The 22,308-nt window shown below is 35.0% G+C and overlaps 1 long non-coding RNA gene across 1 annotated transcript, besides 1 other annotated feature; it reads left to right on the top strand.

Annotated features, from left to right (window-relative positions):
• Positions 18,076-18,233: a silencer, noted in NCBI's record as "fragment chr1:103698107-103698264 (GRCh37/hg19 assembly coordinates)". NCBI's record gives its function as "represses an EF-1alpha promoter that drives an FKBP-Casp9 reporter gene in an ReSE screen in both phorbol 12-myristate 13-acetate-treated (for megakaryocytic differentiation) and untreated K562 erythroleukemia cells {active_cell/tissue: K562 | K562(+PMA)}" and the evidence as "EXISTENCE:reporter gene assay evidence [ECO:0000049][PMID:32094911]".
• LOC124904593 (uncharacterized) lies at positions 18,803-21,211 on the top strand. The gene is made up of 2 exons (XR_007067034.1): positions 18,803-18,993; positions 19,235-21,211. It is a non-coding gene; the product is annotated as an uncharacterized LOC124904593 (long non-coding RNA).
• Positions 21,212-22,308: the final 1,097 nt, after the last annotated feature.

Below are 22,308 nucleotides of genomic sequence, written 5' to 3'. Positions count from 1 at the left end.
CCAGAGAACAAAGGGAGAAGGCAGAGTTATGGTAGCTCAGGACTGAGTTCCCAGGCAGAAGCTGGCATCACAACAGGCTTGTTCAGTGGGGGCTGGAGCCATAAAAGACAAGCGGCTCCTGTTGGAGACGCCAGTGCAAGAGGAAAGACATTTAGCCTCTGTTGATTTAGCACAGTTGGGAGTCCAGTGACATAGGAGTTCAGGAATTGGTGCCTGTAAGGGTCAGTCCTCTGCCTTCCAGAGCTGAGCAGGGGAGCTAAAAGGAATGTGGATCTAAGCGAGAAGATCTTTCATATCCATTACTTTTTGTTTATCTCTTCCATTATCACCCAGATCAGGCCCTAATCAGCATTCCTCTTGTATGTTATAAACTTCTAACAATTTTTTCTAACTCTAGTTGGAACTTCCTCTTAGCCATTGTGAATATAAGGCCATTTGCTTAACTCATGTAAAGAAATGAGTTTCCTTATTTGATAGATGGTAAAGTTTAAACTTATTAAAATGATGTTTTGGTTCCCTAAATATTGTTCAAAATTTCTTTTAAATTATCTCTAATATTTGCCTACTTAATTATGCTCCTGCCAGATATAACTATAATAGCATTTTTGGAGAAAAATGAACAAACAAAAATCCATACAAAGTTGTTGAATATTTATGATTAGTTTTAAAATTGCATAAGACATACTGCAAGTCCTACAGAACACTGAGCTATACAATTCAATGAGGTCTAGAGCAGTTCCTGAGTATCTGAACTTCAGTTTAAATACCTGCATGTGTCTACTCAATGTTGTATAGCAGCAATTCAATCAGAGCTCATCAATAATTGATACTCAATAAATACTTACTTTATGAGTAATATCATGAATAACAGCCCAGTTTTCTAAGGTCTGAAGTCTTTGGTTAAAGGTGTTACTAGCCTGATGCCAGATATATTTTTTTTGCATATAATCATTGGATAAAATATTCTGCTTTATTACACAAAGTCAATGAGCCTGGCTTTCCTAAATTGCATAAAGAAAATAATAAGAATTTAAAATATTTAGAAAAACTTAAATAATTATAAATAGCTTAAAATATACACATAGAGAAGTTTAATTTAAAAATTTTATATTATAGGGTACATGCTTAAAAACCTTTTTTAAATGTATGAATCAGTCAATCATCATTTAAGGACACAAAAAATCTACTTTATAACAGTCATATATTCATCTTTGCTATATATTGGATTCCTTCAGCTTATGGATCATTCAAATGTATTTTTAGCATTCTAAGGAATTATCTATAGCCATATTCTTGTCTGCATCTATTTTCAGTGAGCATGAAATGTTAAATTATTTTTTTTTGAGATTTGGTACTGATATGTAAAAGCTAGTAATAATGCAATTTGTTCAAATATACATCTTTTCACTATTGAAACAGATTTTCCCATTCCTTCAGTTATAAAGACAGATGTAAAGAAAATATGTTTATCCTTTTTTGAAAAGGGTATGTCAGGATGCTTGGGAACATCAGGAGACTAGAGTTCACATGCTGGTAGTGTATGGTTTTAGGCAGTACCCCTCTGTCAAGAGTATTTGCAGCCAAAATTTTGCCAAAGAGCCAAAAAGACTTCCCATTTTATGCAAAGTGGAACCATAGCCTTTCTTCCTGAGACTGAGAATTATTAAAATACCTTGAATACCAGGATGGGGCCCATTGAGGTTTGCCAGCAGGCAAGATCATCAGGCCCCATGTCCATAAGACACTGTCTGGTATGAAAGAAACATTCTGGACCGGTCACTTGCACCTGACATTGTCTTAGGGAGGGTTGCATTTGAGCACAATAAATGATTTATGCTGAAAAATACTCAGACCTGTGATTGTAGGTGAGCTTGAAAAACTGCAAAGCAAGCAAATTTAAAAATCTGTTCTTTAAAAGCTATCATAGTTAAGGCTCGAGGCATTTCTTTTTGTTGTGGGACCTCGTAAATGAACCTAATACAGGGAGGAATCCTTCTCCAAATAATGAGCATCTGCATTAAAAAAGTTGGTCTTATGGCCAACTTGACTTCTGGGCTTTCATTTATTTCTGTCTAACACAGAAGTTCAGCTTTGTGGCAATTTCTGTTGCTTATGGCCTTGCACCAGATATCTGAACGGCTCTGAACTTTAGCCAAGGGAGTGATTTCTGAACCGGAGAACGTTGACCCACAAAGAAAGGCTGTGAGAACGCCAACCATTGCATAAACTTGACTTAATGAAGTCCACCTGAGTTCGCAGTTTCTGACCATGCTAGCAGGCCATTAAAGAATAGGACAAATTGAACAAGCTAGGGCAAGTAAGGTTGGGGTCCTTATGAACAGCTTGAGATATTGAGGAAAGACTGAATTTCCTGCTATGAGAGGGAGATGAGGATCCAGATTGGTCATAATGTGAACATTATTTTAACTATGACACTCAAAACAAGGAAAATAATTATTATATTTCAAATATATGTACTGAATTTCAGATTTCATCTTTCAACTTGAGTCCTATATCTCTAATTTTTAAAGATAAGTTCCTTCAAATGAATATATCATTCTTTATTTGCTAACTTGCCATCAGAATTATTTCTTTTTACAGTCAATGTATTATTTTCATAAATATTTTTAATCTCATTTAAACAGAAACAACAAAAATTGAGCAAATTAATTATTCTGCTGTGGGTTTTTACTAAGTTGCATGCATTTATTATTATCATCGTTATTATTTTCTGGGCTTTTGAAAAGCTGAGCACAAGTAAACAATTTGAAAATTCAAACTGTTATGGCAAAAAGAAAAAACAAACACCCTAGGAATCAAGAGATTGGGAATTTATTCTTAGCTCTGCTACTAACTAGCTGGGTGGGACTCTGAATAAACCACCTTGCTTTATTGGATCTTTTATTGTTTTCCTTCCTAAAATGAAGAAAATGTACCACACGATTTCCAGGGACTCTTGCAGCTCTAAAAGCACTAAAATGTCATTCTTATGCATGTGCTACAGATACTTTATTGACACAATGACATCTCATTTTCTAAAATGTTGCCCAGCAGGATATGTCACACCTCCCAGATATTAAATCAATCAGGTAGTAAAAACAACTATTTTATTCAGAGTAGGGAATAGAACTGTCAAAACAATTGCACTTTCTTAATGTACTAAGATAGACATTTCGAAATTTATGACAATTTAATAACTGCCAGAATCTTGATTTTCCTATTTTTCCCTTATGAAAAAGAGAACTTAGACTGCTCATACACAATTAAAAGCAAGCGTTTCTTTTCAAACTCTTCAAAATTTATTTAAAAAATTTAATCATCAGCAGGATGTGGCTATCAAGTGAAACACTGAATTAAATCATGGCCTCAACATGAGTGTTATTTTTCAGTGAATACATATATTTCCTTTCAATAGTCTCATAACATTTCTCTGACTTTTTCCACAGAGACTTTTACGCTTCAGAAAGTTTTATCAGTTATTTAACTCTTTCCTTTTATAAAAAGTTTTTACTTTCAAATTTTATTTCATAAATGTGTGTTCAATAAATATTTGCTATTTTCAAAGTACTTGGTAGATATACTTATTGAAGTTTGTACTGTCATGAAATAATATAATTATGGGTAGGATGTTAAGGTACAACATAACCAGTAGTTACTCTTGATTTCTAGAACCTTTGCTAATCAAAGTGTGGACCACAGGGTAGCAGCCTTAGTACCACCTGGAAGCTTATTAGAAAAATAAAATTTCAGCCTCACCCCACCCCTTTTGATTCAAGGTTAAATCGTAAGCATACTCAAGTTTGAGAAGTGCTTGTCCAAAACAGATGCTTCTGCTTCTGTTCTGAGAGCCATGCTTCAAGTATCAAACCAGGAGACAAATTCGGGAGATTCTGCTGGTTTTTTGTTTGTTTGTTTGTTTGTTTGTTTTCACCTCATGGCTTTCCTGGGATAGCATTGAGATGATAGTTAATACTTATAGAGTGGCACATTTAAGCTGAAACTTAAGAATGGCTTTAGTTATAGAGAAGATTTTGATGTTGATTTTGGAGGAAGATATTTTCCTTGTAGTAGTGTAAATCACCTAGATGGTATATTAAATATACTTTTATTCCACCTTGAAAGTAAAATTATCATAGGCTGATTGCATTTGAATTAAGAATTGTTCATTTCTATGGAATTTCAAAGGGTTTTGATTATAAATTAATTGTTTCAAAGTGTTTTGTGCTTGGATACCCAACCATTAAAGATCCATAGAAATGTGTGACTACATCTAAGGGGTAGATTTGGCTCAAAATGTGCTGAATATAAACCTTACAAAGTAAAATATATAATTTTCCTACATCTATTTTCACTTCTGGTGGCCTCTTTTATCCAAAGATGTTCATGCTTTGGATGTAAAATCCTGTGATGTAATTTCAGGGAAAATTACGGTGTGAGTTTTGTTTATAAAAATGTAGTGGTCAGAAGAACCCACTCCACCTTGGCACTGGCGTAAAGTTTGGAAAATGTTCATGTTCATTTGTAATGCATCCAAAGGGCAGTTAAAAAGGAGATATTTGCAGGTGGAAATGGTTCATACAAATCAAAGTAAATGTTTTCTAAAAAGAGAGAACATACAGTAAGATATGACAAAACATAATACAATACACTAAGGCTCTTACAGAAAAAGGCTGAATCCAAAAGTAAATTGAAAGACACACAGAAAAATAAGGTAGGAAACAAGGACAATCCTAGTCTTCTTCACTTTCAATAGGGGATGTAAATTTGCAAAATGTTGGCAGAAAAGTCTCATTCACCTAATCAACAAATGTGTATCGTTTGCCTGTGTGCAAAATGCCGCATTAAATACTGCACTAGAATCTCAGAAAAGGGGGAAAAGTAACATTATAAAATACTTATTGATCAGCAGGAGTTGTAGAGTAGGGTCAATGTAAGAAAAAATCATGTAAAAATTATAGTATAAATTATAACTCAACTTTGAAATGGAATTTCACTTCAAGTTTGAAATGGAGACATAAGAAAAAGAAAGAGTGAAAATATAAGATTTATATTATATTAAAGAATATAATGGGAGGAGAATAAGAATGGAAGATTAAAAAGTATACGGAAGCCACTGAAATGAAGGAGAAAGGGACATATAGATGAATAACCAATATTTATTGGGAGTGGAAGAAACATAGGAATATGGGAAACTAAAATTTTTGGAGAGAGATGGGATTATTAACAGACTTTCTTAAAAGTTAGGTGTCCACTTCAGTCTGTTCCTTTCAGTCCAGAAAGTACAGATATAACAATAATAGTTAACATTAGTTCATTGCTTGTAGTTAGGCACTGCTATCAGCACTATACATGTATCAATTAATGTTCATAAGGAGCCAAAGAAGGAAATACTGTTATAGTCCCTTTTACAGATGAGAAAAAAAGAGGCAAAGAAGGGGTAAGTAATTGGCCTATGATGGAACAGCTAGTTAGTGGTGGAGCTAGAGCTCAGAATGTCTGACTACAGAATTTTTGCTATTAACCACAATGCTATTAAGTCTCATAGTGTATAAATGTCATCCTGCCTCTAGATATTGTATTTCTAGAAGAGAAAATTATGTTTTTCTTTTTTAGGAAGGGGTTTATTTTCCACCTTAAATTGTTGGCTATTTTTGAAAGGCAACGTAAGAAAGTAAAAAGGCCTGGGTTTTAGACAAACAGACCAAGATACAAACCCTGACACCACCACTGACTACTTTCCACATATTTGGTAAACTATTTAACCTTTTTTATGTCCCTGTCTCATTCGTACATAATTATGTCCAATGTTTGATGTGAGATCAATAAGATTGAAAATATGACACAATGCTTGACAAGGCAGACACTGTAAAATGGCAGTTAATATTTCTGACATTACTATTGCCTCTCTTACTGTTATTCTCAAGTGCTGTTAACTAACTGTTGTTAGTCATTTTCCTACATTTTCCCCACTAGAATATGAACTCTATAAGAGTATGGAATCTCCGACGTCTCCAGCCCTAATGCAGTGCCTGGTACAGAAGAAGAGCTTCTCAGTATGTGTGTAAATAGATGGCTGCTAAGCACATCCCTCTCTGCCTCTTCCTGCAATGTTTAGCACTATGAGATGCCTTTTAGCTGAATTCAGTACACCTCTCTATTCTTTTGAGTTTTGCGGATGCAGGTTCAGCCATCTGGTCTATCAACTATTTTTTTTTTTCAAGATTGTGGGTTATATTGTTTGTCCAAAAATGCCTTCTCTGTTTTCAGCCAACCAAAAGCAAAAAAGTTTTCCTTTGGATGACACTAGAATTTATTTGTGAGTTGATGGGGACAAAATAGCAGTCATGAAACAAATGTCTATTTAATATCCATGGGCATGACAGTCTTGAAGATTTTGCTTCTTGCATTCTGTGCTTTCTGTTACCAACAATGTGAAGTTAGCTGGGCAGTATAGCAGCATGTAGAACCATCTTCATTAATTCTAGTCCTTGGATTAACTTTAATAAAAGGAGGCAAAAATATAGGAATCTAGGGACTGACCATATTGGCTTTTAATCCAGAAAGATCAATGAAGAAAATTTCCTTTGGCAGGTGCAAACAATTGTAAAGAAGGATATACCCCCTGCCTCCCTCAAAAAAAAATCATGAAAGGTTTAAGCATTAAAATATCTATTTTGGCTTAGATTAATCCTTTCAGTTGGATGTCTAGCCTACACACTCAACCTTGATGTGAGTTGAAAAATAAGTTATTATCTGAATAATTTATAAATATTATTACTTCTAAAAAATTAAAAATACCACTGTCATTGACAATAAATTAGCTTAGCATTTGTAGAGCAATGAATTATATTCTCATGTACTTATTTAAATGGCCTTTAGAAGAGATTAAACTCAAAGATAAAAATAAATTTCAGAAGTTTTAAAAATAACTTTAGATGCTATATATTTGTTTTATGATTTTTTTAAAGTAGAAAAGTGCTAAAGCAATGATTTCACCGTAATGCAAATTCCATTTATACAGCACTCATATGTAGACTCTATATTTATCTACTTCCCACTTTCCCTAGAAATATATTGCATAATAAAATGGAATTTCCAGAGACAACTCAGTTTTTATGGCTTAATGTATGTCAGAGAAGCTGTCTCTTCTTTGTATCCATTGGTAATTACATAGCATTGCTTCAACATATGTCTGCATTTGGGTTTCCATTTTTATGTTTCCCTTTAAGCTATTTATAAATGTAGTCACTTGATAGCATGGTGCTTTATTATTTTTTTCCTGTGTTACAGACAGCATAAAAACTATACAATCTGGTAAATAGGAAAAGTATGCAATAAATGAATCAGATCAACTCCTGAAAAATAGAAGTTTGCATATATTATCTAATCAGAGCTTTCATTTACATAATTCCTCTGAGCAAAGTAATTTACTCATGAAAGTGAAATTGAAGAAAATCTAAACCCTTTTCCCAATTTGCCTAAATTTCTCTTTTATTTGTGGCCCATTGATAAACTCATTGAAAATTCAAGGATTTGATACCCACTATGTTCAGTACCCTGCATTTGGTGGTTATGGACTCTTGGCAGATATCTTTCCTTTAAGGCTTCTCCTTCAGGGAAGCGTACTGTCCACCTGCCATGAGATGAGTTCATGATAGGGCCTGGTAAGCAGCAGTAATAACGTTGGATTTTATTCCGAGTAATTGTGTTATATTAGATAAAGTCATATATTCTCACACATTTATTCAATACTTATTTGATGAGGATCCTCTATTCTCCAGTCATTGTTCTAGGTTCTGGGGATAAAAGAGTGAGTATCATAGATGAAGACTCTGCTTTTTCTCAGTTACTGATGTTTCAGTGGGGCTGCATTACAGTCAGTGAGTCTCTCTGTCTCTCAAATTAGTTAAACTATGGGTTTCTTAGAGTGTGGTGGGAAGGAACTGGATGACAAATATGAGACCCTAAGTAGTTAATGCACAGTGGAGCACAAATGCCAAAGAAACATTAGTGCTCATTCCACCAAATTCTATTCCCTATAAAATACATAAAATTCTTAGGTTAAGTAAGTTAAAAATCAATGAAAAGCTTCTACAGTCATAGAATGTTATGAATTTGTTGTAATGTCATTATAAATATTGCAGTTCTTAACCAAACATGATACATATTATAAAAAATACTGCCAAAGCATTGTTGAAAATGTTAATAATTTCATTTTGATGAAAATTCTTTGAATATTGCTAATGCCAAAGTATTCTAACTTTAAAGTCTTTGGGCATATAAAATATTAATATTCTTTTGGAAGTTTCAAAGTGGTTTCCTTCAGTAATAATCAAAATGATATTCATAATATTCTAATGTGAATTAAGCATTCTCTTGAACTTAAAAATCCTTGAATATTAAAATCTTAAGGTTGTAATTCTAAATTAAAAATTTTAGGTTTTAAATAAATTTTTATTTATATAATTGTAGACTTATATAAAGGTGGTGAAGATAGTACAGAGGATTTCTGTGTACCCCACACCAAGTTTCTTCTATAAATAGCATTTTATTTTAACATTGTCTGTATGTCACAATTAATAAATCAAAATTGATACATGATTATTAATTATAATCTACATTTTACTCATCTATCTTTAGGCTTGACCTAATGGTCTTTTTCTGTTTTACAATTTAATCAGGATACATTACATTTGGTTGTTATGTCTTAGACTGCTATTGGCTGTGACAGTCTCTCAAACTTTCTTCATTTTCATGTCTTTGACAGCTTTGAAGAGTCAGATACTTTGTAGACTGTCCCTTAATTGGGATTTTTCTGATGTTTTTCTCATGTGACTGGAGTTAAGGGCTTTTGGGGAGGAAGACCACAGAGAATAAGCATCATTCTCATCGTATCACATGAAGTTAACATACTATCAACATGACATCAATGCTGGTGTTAGCCTTGATCATCTGGCTGAGGTGGAATTTGCCAGCTTTCTCCACGCAAACTTATTTTTTCTCTTTTATCGTATTGTGTATTTGGAAGGAAGTCACTATGCGTATCCGACACCTAAGAGGTAGAAGTTATGCTCCACCACCTTGAGTATGGAGTGTCTATATAATATATTTGAAATTCTTCTGCAGAGGATATTTGTCTATTCTCTCTCATTTTATATCAGTATGAGTTCACAGATTTATATTCTTTGGGTTCTAATCCAATATAATATTATTTATTTCATTGTTGAAGTTGTTCCATCTTTGGCCCTTTGGCAGTCCTTCAGTTGGCTTATGCGCAAATTAGATATACCCCCACCATTGTTCGTGGGTTTTTGTTTTTATTGTTGTAATTTTACCTCCTGCACTACAAAATGGTTCAGGCTTATCTTGTCTTCAGTCTTAGAATCAGTCATTTCTAAGGGCTTCATTAGAAGCTCTGATTCATTTAATCAGAGAATGATATTAGAAACTAAGGTCTAGTGAATAGGTGTGCTTATGACTCCAGGGGTGTTATTGCTTTTGCAGCCTTTCAGAAAACAAAGTGTGTATATTACATACTCATATATAAAAATATTTTTTATATAAACATCTGCATCTATATTAATAAACTGAATTTTAAACATGCATTCATTTGAGCAGTCAAATCTGTTAATGGGAGCACAGGCTGCATATTGATGAACAGAAAATAATTCATTTGATAATTTAATCAACCTTTGCTGCTGCTACATTCCAGAAGAAAGTTATCAGTAGATGGAATGCATCTTACTTTGTGCTCTAAAACTGAGGTTTTTATATCCAATCGTATAATAATGCTATGATTTTGAGTTTGTTAGAATAGATTTGGGTGCACCTATTTATTCTGTACATTGTGTAAGAGTTGATATATTTAGTAAATTAGGAAAAAATTCCTGGAAGCAGAATTGGAGATGAAAATTTGGGTGTATATGGTTTACTAGGGGGTGCTCATCAGAAAAAAATCTGAGTAGAGAGAGTGAAGCAGTATAGGAAAGGAAAGGGGATTAACAAAGATATGATCTTAGAAAAAGACTTCCTGGCCTAAGCCAGAGAAGAAGGGCTGTAAAGCTTAAACTGCACCTTAGAATCATCTCTCTGAGGCAAAAGGCCTAACCTATTCTATTTATTTCCTACTAGTTACTAATAATAGTTATTGGCTGTGGGCAACTTCCTTAGGCATAATTTTCTTACGAAGATGATTCCCATTGGCTGAGGGCAAGTTTCTGAAAAATGTAGTGCAGCTGTGAGCATCTAAAAGCTAACCCAGCAGACACAGTAAGGGGAGCAGGCTGGGGCACCACCGTTCTCTTATAATACACAAGGAGGATCACCTTAGCTTCAGAGTTATGGAAGTTTATTAATGGTTAAAATGATACTGAATGCAGCTCAGCTAGATTGAAGAGTCTCACCATTAGCAGAGAGGAGATTTATGCAACAGTCATGTTATGGAACAATGTACAAAATATTAGCGGTTAAAGAAACTGAAGGGAGCAAAATCAACAACCAGCTCCCAATCATGTAGAGCCTCAAAAGGTTATTTGAGATGAAGGCCAAAATCAATAGGAATTTTGAAAAATATAAATAACAATTCATTCATGCAAAAAAAAAATTCTCATGGAGTACATATTTTATGCCAGGCATTGTTCTGGATGCAGCCGTGAAAGAAACAGAAAGTATCTTCTCTCATGAAGGTTACATTCTATTGAGAGGAGGTGGGAAAGAAACCAATGAAACATAGTATGTGGTTCCATGGCTCCACTGGTGATGAGCATTAGAGGAGAAAGAAAGCACTGTATGAGGATAGGGGTCATGGTTTCAGATGTGATAATAAGAGAAGACTTACTTTAAAAGGTGAAGGGAGCTAGCTATTCAAAGATTAGGAGAAAGCACATTCTAGGTGAAAAGCATAGCTTGTGCAAAGGCATTGTGATGGTATGTGCAAGGAACAGCAAAGAGGGCAGAGTAAATGGTGGTCCTTGAAGAGAGCAAATGTGGTAAAGTGAATGAAATCTATGGAGGAAAGTGCAGATCATGCAAATCAGGAGTTACCAAACTACAGCCTGTGGCCCACGTTTGACCCACCAGCTGTTTCTATATGGCTTCTGAGTTCAAAGAGTTTTTTCAATTTTAAATGTTTGGGATAAAATATAAAAAGTAAAACAATACTTTGTGACATATGGAAACTGCATGAAATTCAAATTTCAGCATTTATAAAGTTGTATCAGAATACAGCATGTTCCCTCGTTTTTGCATTATTTACAGCTGTTTTCACGCTACAAGAACAAAGTTGTTTGTTGCTATAGAACATATTTAATATCAAGCCTTTTACGGAACAAGTTTGCCAATTCCTGATATAGGCAATAACAAGTATTTTAGATTTTATACTGAGGGGATGGGAAGCCACTGGGTGTTTTAGAGCACAGGATTGATGTGATTTGACTTACTATTTTTTAATCTAAAAAGTTAATGGAGTCAATGATTTGCAGATGGGACTTTTCTCCACAGAGAGCCTTTGTATTATGTAGGATCTTTAATTTTATAAATGACAGATAATTTAGCTCAAAGTGGTCTAAACTGGAATTTCTCAGCCTCAGCACTATTGACATTCATTTTAGGCCAAGTAATTCTTTGTTGTCTGGGCCTGTCCTGGGCACTGCAGGAATTTTACCTGCATCCCTGATCATTACCCACTAGATACAAATAACAACTCCTTCACTGACCCCCACTCACATCCTCAGTTGTGAAAGTAAAAAATGTCTCCAAGGATGTCCCAATATTCCCTGGAGGACAAAATTACCTGCAATTGAGATCTACTAGATTAAACCAAAATTAATCTGTTACTTCATATTATTTAAAAGGTTGGTTGGCTACAGGGCTCAAATGCTGTTTTTTGATGCATCTCTTTGGACTCCATCCTCTGTTGTGTCTCCATTGTCAGACTTCCAGTTGCTCTGGGCTTACATTATCACAATGACCAATACAAAAAAATACAGAAGACTTCTCTTTCCCAAAAATCCCACAGATGACTTACCACATCTCATTGGCTCTGATTGGCTATGGGTCACTCCTAAGACAATCTTTTATTGGTTTATTCCAATCAGGGGGCTCTTGGAGCTGGGACCATTTGACTGAGAGAAGGGAAAGGTTGCATTTTTTATTCCAAAGGAAACTTAGAGTAGAACTGTCGGGAAAAGGAAGTAATGGATTTTATGAAAGCAAACAAAATACTTTTCACTATTGACCTGACGTGGAGATCTATTTGTATCGTGTTTAAGAGTACCTTGCCATGGTGATGATAGTTAAAATACTGTAGTGTATATGTGAAATTTGTTAAGAAGATAGATCTTTAAATCTTCTCAACAGACACATACAACACATATAGATACACACACAAAATAGCAACTATGTAGAGGTAATGGATACGTCAATTAACTTGATTATGGTAATTACTTCATAATGTATATGATATCAAAGCATCACATCATACAAGTTAAACATATACACATTTTATATTTCAATTATATATCAATACAGTTGTTTTAAAAAGAGGTACTTTCTAGGGAAAGCCTAGGGATAGTTGTAGAGAGGGAGTTAATATACTCTGTGATTTTGAATGCTTGTAAATGAAGATCATTACCCATCAGCACTCAATGACATTGTATGATGCCTACAGCTCAAATCAATGAAGTCCCACAAGGAAAAACAACAAAAAAGTGCCTATGCACAGCTAAGCTATAGAATGTTGGGGGAGACAAATGCATAAATACATATGGTTAACCATATAACTTGTTCAGATCAGAACGTTTTTGGGTATAAAAGTGCTATAGTTTGGATATGACTTGTTTGATCCCTCCAAATCTTGTTGAAATTTGACTCTCCATGTTGGAGTTGACAGCCTAATGAGAGGTGTTTGAGTCACGGAGGCAAATCCCTCATGAATGGCTTTGTGTAGTGCTCAAAGTAATGAGTGATTTCTTACTCTATTAGTTCCCACAAGAACTGATTGTTAAATAGAGCCTGATACCTTTCCCCCTTCTCTCTCTCACTCCATGTGATTCACCTTCAGCTATGAGGAAGAGCAGCTGAGGGCCTCACCAGAGGCAGATGGTAGCACCACACTTCTTGTACAACCTGCAGAACTGTGAGTCAAATAAACTTTTTTTCTTTATAAATTATCCATCCTCAAGTGTTCCTTTATAGCAACACAAAAATAGACTAAGACAGAAAGGTTATGCTATTGATAATCACTGTAGGAAAACATGCAAACCAAGATGTGTGACCACCTTACGTATCACCCATTGTATTATTTCATTTTCACGCTACTGATAAAGACACATCTGAAACTGGGAACAAAAAAATTTAATTGGACTTACAGTTGTATATGGCTGGGGAGGCCTCAGAATCATGGCAGGAGGTGAAAGGCACATCTTACATGGTGGCAGCAAGAGAAAAATGAGGAAGAAGCAAAAGCAGTAACCCTTGATAAACCCATCAGATCTCATGAGACTTATTCACTATCATGAGAATAGCATGGGAAAGACTGGCCCCCATGATTCAATTACCTCCCCCGGGGTCCCTCCCATAACGTGGGAATTCTGGGAGATACAATTCAAGTATTCATGTATGGAGACACAGCCAAACCATATCACTCTGCCTCTGTCCCCTCCAAATCTCTTGTCCTCACATTTCAAAACCAATCATGCCTTCCCAACAGTCCCCCAAACTCTTAACTCATTTCAGCATTAACCCAAAAGTCCACAGTCCAAAGTCTTATCTGAGGCAAGGCAAGTCCCTTCTACCTATGAGCCTGTGAAATAAAAAGCAAGTTAATTACTTCCTGGAAACAATGCGGGTACAGGCTTTGGGTAAATACAGCCATTCCAAATGAGAGAAATTGGCCAAAACAAAGGGGCTACTGGCCCCATGCAAGTCTGAAATCCAGCAGGACAGTCAAATCTTAAAGCTCCAAAATGATCTCCTTTGACTCTATGTCTTGCATCTGGGTCATGCTGATGCCAGAGGTGGGTTCCCATGGCCCTGGGTAGCTCTGCCTCTGTGGCATTGCAGGGTACAGCCTCCCTCCTAGCTGCTTTCATGGGCTGGTGTTGAATGCAGCTTTTCCAGGCACACAGTGCAAGCTGTCAGTGGATCTAACATTCTGGGGTCTGGAGGATGGTGGCCCTCTTCTCACAGCTCCACTAGGTGGTGCCCCAGTAGGGACTCTGTGTGGGTGCACTGACCCCACATTTCCCTTCTGCACTACCCTAGCACAAGTTTTCCCTGGAAGCCCCGCCCCTGCAGCAAACTTCTGTGTGCATCCAGGCATTTTCCATAAATCCTCTGAAATCTAGGTGGATATTCCCCTCAATTATTCTTGACTTCTGTGCACCCGAAGGCCTGAACACAGCACAGGGACCCTAGGCCTGGCCCATGAAACCATTTTTTCCTCCTAGGCTCTGGGCCTGTTATTGCAGGGGTTGCCATGAAGACTTCTGTCATGCCCTGGAGACATTTTCCCCATCGTCTTGGGGATTAACATTTGGCTCCTCATTACTTACACACATTTCTGCAACTGGCTTGAATTTCTCCTGAGAAAATGAGATTTTCTTTTCTATTGCATTGTCAGGCTGTAAATTTTTTTGAACTTTTATGCTGCTCTGTTTCCCTTATGAAACTGAATGCCTTCAACAGCACCCAAGTCATATAGATTACTTTGCTGCTTAGAAATTTCTTCTGCCAGATATCCTAAATCATCTCTCTCAAGTTCAAAGTTCCACAGATCTCTACACCAGGGGTGAAATGTTCCCAGTCTCTTTGCTAAAACATAACGAGAGTCACCTTTCCTCCACTTCCCAAGTTCCTCATCTCCATCTGAGACCACCTCAGCCTGGACCTTATTGTTCATATCACTATCAGCATTTTTGTGAAAGACATTCAACAAGCCTCTAGGAAGTTCCAAACTTTTCCACATTTTCCTGTCTCCTTCTGAGCCCTCCAAACTGCTCCAACCTCTGCCTGTTACCCAGTTCCAAAGTCGCTTCCATATTTTTGGGTATCTTCTCAACAATGTCTGACTCTACTAGTACCAATTTACTGAATTAGTCTGTTTTCATGCTGCTGACAAAGACATACCAGAGGCTGGACAATTTATACAAGAAAGAGGTGTAGTGAACCTCTTTCACTTGGCCAGGGAAGCCTCACAATCATGGTGGAAGGCAAGGAGGAGCAAATCACATCTTACATGGATTGCAGCAGGCAAAGAGAGCACTTGTGCAGGGAAACTCTGCCTTATAAAATCGTCAGATCTCATGAGACTTATTCACTATCACAAGAATAGCATTGGAAAGACCAGCCCCCATGATTTAATTACGTCCCCCTGGGTTCCTCCCACAACATGTGGGAATTCTGGGAGATAAAATTCAAGTGGATATATGAACGGGGACACAGTCAAACTATATCACCCATCTTGTTTAGCATCTGATGCTTCAGAGTTGTTCCTTTTAGTTCTATATTTCCTATTTCTACATATTTCTATAAATATTCCTATAAATATAGTCCTATAAAATCGTAGGTGTCTAAAAGATTAATACAAAGTTACTGAAAGAAACCAATATAAATATAATTATTGTCCTGTGATTTAAAAAAGATAAAATAAGAACCATGGAAATCCAATCTATGTATTATAAAATTATAACTTGTAGTTATGAGGTCACAGAGCCTATGGGGTCTTTGTAGAAACTTCTAAAGAAGCTGAGGAAGGACTTAGGTTTGAGAACTATGGAGAGAGAACACTAAGAATGTCATTAAACTGAGAACCACAAGTAAGTCCCAAATGTTCACATTGCACTCCTGGAGGCAAGGAGGTGACACTCAAGGAAAGCTTAAAAGATAACTTTAGAACCCTAACAAACAATCCTAGATTTATCCCCAGCTTGCCAACCAAAAGTTATTTAATTGTTATGTGCTGCTTTTAGCTGGACTCAATATGAAAATGTTTCTGGCATAAAATACACATTTTCTATAGATCAGAGCCTGTCCAAACTTTCAGCACCAGAAATCTTACTTGGTCTAGGCATTTGTGTTCTTTCTCCATTATGGCTTAAGCCTGAGCAGTTGTGCAGGATCTTGCAGCCTTGATAAGAAGGCTAGAGAAAAACTGGAGGTAAGGTCATAGAGATTGGGAATCCTTGCTGCAATTAAGAGGCAGTTACTTCTTTTGAAACATGCATTCAAGTTTCTTCCTGAGACATTTTTCTCAAGTGGCTCTCTGAGATAATATTTTACTGTTTACCTCTCTTTACCACATCAACTTTTCTTGTTCTTAATATATACCTTAATATGGACCTTAAGGACTGATGAAAATAGATCTTAAAATATAAGTTAATATAAATTATATTTTAATAAAATATAAATTAGGATTTAAGAGTGTATTAAATATAGGAAAAGTGTATTAAATATAGGAAAAGAACCAAGCTAAATAATAGCTACATTCAAGTTTTGTAAATCGGTAAGAGATTCCTGCACTATTTACATATGTCAAATGGGACTAAATGTTTAAATGGAATTCCTAAAACTCCTCAAGTTCTACCATCAATGATGAAATAGGAAGTCAGTTAAAATGAATACTACGTAAATAATTCTGAGTACACGTTGAGGCAGACACCTACTCTGGAAATGTAGGTATAATTTTGAAATACAAACTCTGAGCATGGCACCTGCACTTATATTACAGTAATTACAGAAAGGAACATTTAAACATAACTCATAATACCTAAGGAGTCTACTTGTTGATATTGTTGGGAAAAAGAGAAGAGAGGTTTTAGTCCAGAAACATTAATTGAAAGTAAAAATGCTACAACACCAGAAGTCATACAGAAATTAAAATATAAAATAAATATGAGTACCATAAGAAAACCTCAGGATAAGAGTTAAATAAAGTTCAAGAAAATGTAAAGGCATTTCGTTAGAAACTTCCAAGTCATTTGATATATAATTGTTTAAATGGATCTTTTTACTTGAGGAATGTAAGCTTAAGTGGAGACTGAATACTTTCAAAAAAACTGTGGTGGGTGCTGTTTAGATGACATGTACTCTGCTATATTTATTTCGTCTAGAAGCCAAAGAGCTTATTTGTAAATTCTGAAAAGACTGCAAAATTTTCATCTTGTTTTCCAACATTAAAATCTCAAGCACTCTTCATTGTGATTTTTTAAAAAAGATATATTCTGTAAGACTTCAGGCAGTCTAGAAAAATAGTTGGATAGATATTGATGATAGATATGATTTTACTGGCTGATATCTTTTTAAAATTTTATATAATGGATGGTACATTAAATTGAGAGATAGAGAAGACACTAGTGAAAATTATAGGGTATATAATTTTATGGGTAATTTTTTTGCAATACTTTTATAAAAATAATATTAAACAGGCATTATGTTGTGATCACAATAATTCTTATTTGTTTGCTTTATATAGCCTGTAAGTTGACTAGATGCTCTCCCAGTATTTTCTAGTTCTATAATTAAACCATCTCATTCAAAGTTTATTCTCAATTAAAAGTGAAATTTTCTACAGAGTATGGGAAAGTCTAAAAAAGGCATAAACTAGGACAGATCTCATTTTAAATTAACTGTACAAGCAAGCAGATATCCTCAAAGAGGAATGAAGTACTGATTCATGCTACAATATGGATACATCTTAAAAACATTGTGGTTAGTTAAAGAACAAAAGGATTACATATTAGATGATTCCATTTATATAAAAAGTACAAAATTAGCATACCTATATATACATACATTACAAAAAGTATATTACTGGTTGCCTTGAACTAGGAGGATGGAGAGAGGAGTACCTGTATTGGGTGTGAGTTTTCTTTTGTTGTTTTGTTTTGTTTTGTTTTGTTTGAGACTGAGTCTCACTCTGTTGCCCAGGCTGGAGTGCAGTGATGTAATCTCGGCTCACTGCAACCTCCGCCTCCCAGGTTCAAGTGATTCTCCTGCCTCAGCGTCCCAAGTAGCTGGGATTACAGGAGCCCACCACCATGCCCAGCTAATTTTTGTATTTTTAGTAGAGACGGAGTTTCCCCATGCTGGCCAGGCTGGTTTCGAACTCCTGACCTCAGGTGATCCTCCCATCTTGGACTCCCAAAGTGCTGGGATTTACAGGCATGAGCCACTGTGCCTGGCCAGTTTGCTTTTGAGGGTGACAAAAATGCTCTAAAATGAGGTTCTGATGATCCCCACAACTGTGAACATACTAAACACTATTAAATTGACCACTTTACATGGGCAAATTTTATGGTATGTAAAATATATCTCAGTTAAGCTTTAAAAAAAAGACAGCGACATCCTTGTATAAAACAAGCCTACAGCAAGACAAGATGAGCAGAATATAAGTATTATGAAAACAGGGATTTGCCTCTTTTTTACTGCTGAATTCTCTGTACCTAAAATCTATAACTAGCACCAGTTATATATTCAATAAATTTTTGTCTGAAGTCTTATATTAAGTTAAGAATAGAAAAGCAAAAATTTCAGCTTAAAATCATTTTCAAATTGTTATGTTTTTACTAACCCTTTTCTTCTCCATCTGTCAGCAGTGCAAGAGAAATAATCTTTCTTCTCATTCTTGTATACAAGGGCTATTGGTATCCTGTGGGCAGCAATCCAAACCTACAGCTGTTATTTTCAGCCAAGGTAGGGAATGTGCTAGCTGAAAGAAGACAGGGCCTGAAGACATCAGAAGCAATTCTGTGCTGGCTGGCCTATGAGGGAGGGTGTGCACAGATCTTGTTGTGAGGAACCCAACTGGAATACTGTCTTAGAGGCTTATACTAAGTCTGGAGAGTAAGATGTGCATGTCTACTTCCTGTCTTTGATTTATCTTTCTGTTTGTATGTTTTACCAGGTATGAAAAAAGAAATATATGCTTGTTTCCTGTCTGAAGTTGATCCCTCTGTTTGCAGCATAAGGGCTTTCTTTGAGTGGTTTGCCAGTAAGGTAGGTCTAAGAAGCTGGATCCTATCTCAAAAGACCTTAATCCCATGGCTCTCAGGACATTCTCTCATCAAGAAATTCTATTCCTATTATTGCAGATGCTAATTCGCTAGCAAGTCTGGTTACATTTTTTGGACACAGAATCTTTAGGTGTTTTTTGTTACTGTGGTTGTTTTGTTGCTTGATTCTCTTTTGATTTGTTTTTATTTATTTACTTATTTTTCTCTTATGTTTATTTTTGCAGACTATATGAACTGGACTTTCCAGATATAGATTCCTGTTTGGCTCAGGGGTGGATCCTCACGCTCTTCTTGTCTCAGAAGGTTTCCCCATTCCAATAAAGTAGATTATTAGCTACTTTCTATTTTCCCTACACAAAATCAGCATGGATATCCAAAACTGATGAAGATAGGTAGCTGCGCAATTAATATTCTTTATCAGTAATCAAGATCTGAGTTTGTTTAATAATTACGAACATATAATTTATGGGGCTACCCTAATATTTAACAAAGCTTTAAAGATACGTTCACTAAACAAAAAGCTAAATTAGAAAAAGAACAATGATGAATTGATATAATACTTCAACAATCCAGAGTTGTACACAGATAGTTCTATGAAGCACCATGGTATAATTGGAATTTAAGGTGACCAAAGTAACTAAATAGTTACATATTGGATATTGCTTTTGAAAAGGAAAGTAAAAGTTATGGTTTGACAAATATAATTTTGGAATACAAGAATACAAGAATTGTAATTAAATAACTTTGTCAATAATTTTGCTTCTATAAATGAATGTTACTAAAATTATGTGTGAATGAAAAAATATATAAAAGACTTTACATAAAAATAAAATATATAATACTTAATATTATATTTATAAATGATTAAAAATAGTTTCTTGCATTGTATAGCAAAAATAATTTTTGTTTTAGGCAAGTTTACTCAAATTGATTCTGGTTAAGTTGCTTGTTTTATGGGACTGCTAATTTAAGTATCTCAAAGCATTAAGTACCTTAGAATATTCATTTCTGTACTTTAGTATTTTACCCCAAAAAATATACTCTCCTAAAAGGGAAATACATTTTTCTAATTTGTATAAAATACAATTAAACACTTTTGCAAAAAATACATATATATAGTATATATATACATATATATGTATGTACATATATACATATATGTACATACATGGGTACATATATATGTATGTATGTACATATATATGTATGTATGTACGTATGTATGTACATATATATGTATGTATGTACATATATATGTATGTATGTACATATATGTACATATATGTGTGTATATATATATTAAACCCAAGTGAATGAGAAATCTGTTAGATTTACTATTCTCACTATAGAGTATAAGTTCAATGGAGAGCTTGATGACAACAGAAACTTATAAATAAACCACCGGGTGTTCTTTTTATGACAACTTTCTATGGATCTTTTTTCTGAAAAGTGTGGTTGACAGAATTTCGTGTGTATATGCATCATATCCTGTGTTCTGTTGCCCCAACTACAGTTTTGCGGCAAACGTTACCCTGTCATCAGAGTATTGAGCCATCAATAACTTGGTCTTATGTTTTGGTTAACTACATCACAATGACCACATTGATGAAAAATTTAAAACATAACCCTCATTATTTAAATATAATGGTAGAAGTTGAATGTGTTATAGTAGAAAAACTCAGGATGTTCAGGCAGTGATTAATGATGATGAGTTAATAAATAAATACTAGTTTTACAGTATCAAAAATGGAGAAATATTTTAAGTAGCTCATATTTTAAGGTCCCTTTAAACACCAGAATTTAAATGCTTGGGTTTAGAACATAATTCCTATTGTATGGGGGTGTCATAAGGTGAAATATTTATCAGTTTTAGGTTGAGGGAAACCTAAGTTTTAATTCTGACGCTGCTACATATTGGCGTCATTTCTTGACTCTACGTATATACTTAATTTTATTGAGATAAGTCAACAAAATAATATATGTAAAGTGCCTGATATGTTCTAGACACACAACAATAAGCATTCTTATTTAGTTGTTTGTTGTAGTTATTTGATAAGACCAGATCTATAAACCACTGTTATTAAGATCTGAAGCAATCTTTGTAGGTAAATAATTTCGAAAATGATGTTCCTCTATTTTAAATGCCTGTCTACCTCCTTTTGTATTTTAAAATGAGTAAAATAAACTAATCAATAAAACAATTATTCATTTGAAATTTCTTTTTTAAAGATATTAAATATTTGTTAAGCATGTGAATACCTCCTGAAATTGCCATTTGTTTTGTAACGAACTCTCCACTAAGACTATTTTCATCAAGAAGTATAAAAAATTTTTAACTCACTTTCCATTATCTCTATGTGTTGGTGTGCATTTTATGTGAAATATTAATATTCACAAACCATAATCAGCAGGAAATTTAATTTCCTAACCCAAGTAAGGATAAAATGCAAGTTGTAGATTATCCCACTCTCTAATCACTGAAATTTGAAATCTTTCAGAACATTGCATATAACTGAAGTACCTCCACCGATTCAATCGGAACTTTTCCAATTGACCTAAGAGGTACTACATAAAATAGAAAGGACCTCAGCATCTTTGTGCCTTAGTTTAGTTAGGCGTGGGGGGCATGGCTGCAGAGCTGCTGTGTTAAGGAAGTTTCCAAATTTGTTCTATCATTTCACAAGTGTGTGAAAAAAAAGTGTCATACAAATAATTTTTAAATTAAACTGATCTCTTGTATGCCAGAATAAATCTATGATGAGTTTTATATTGGTTCGGCCCTGAGCAATTGTTTAACCTAATTCCATTTAGTATCCTGGGAGAGGATAGGGTGGAAGAGACAGAAGCTAACTTCTCTGCCAGGAGTACTGAAAAAGTACTCCACCCACCAGGGCTTATACACAGCGTGTGGGCTATATGATTGTGTCAGTGCTGCCTTTGATAAGGAGCCATATATCCTAACTACAAATATCCACAGGAAAATAATGTGGCCTTAATAATTGAAAGAAATTTGAGTTAAAAAGATCACATAATTTAATAGGTAGGAAAAACAGTAATTTAACTGAAAAAAAAGTGTTACTTTTCACCCACATATTCTTGTGGAGCATGAAGTTCTGTAAGCAATATGGCCCACAGACCAGCAGCAGTATCTGGAAGTTTCATAGCAATTCAGAATCTTGGATCCTATCTCAGATCTACTGAGATTCAGGTTTGTGTTTTAACATGATGCTCAGGTGTACTGTATGCTCCCCAAAGTTTGAGAAATACTGAGCTCAAGAATCTGGTAGTTACTATGGGT

Source organism: Homo sapiens, chromosome 1 (assembly GCF_000001405.40).
Source record: "Homo sapiens chromosome 1, GRCh38.p14 Primary Assembly".
Taxonomy (NCBI): domain Eukaryota; kingdom Metazoa; phylum Chordata; class Mammalia; order Primates; family Hominidae; genus Homo; species Homo sapiens.
This window is presented reverse-complemented; position numbering and strand designations above follow the sequence as displayed.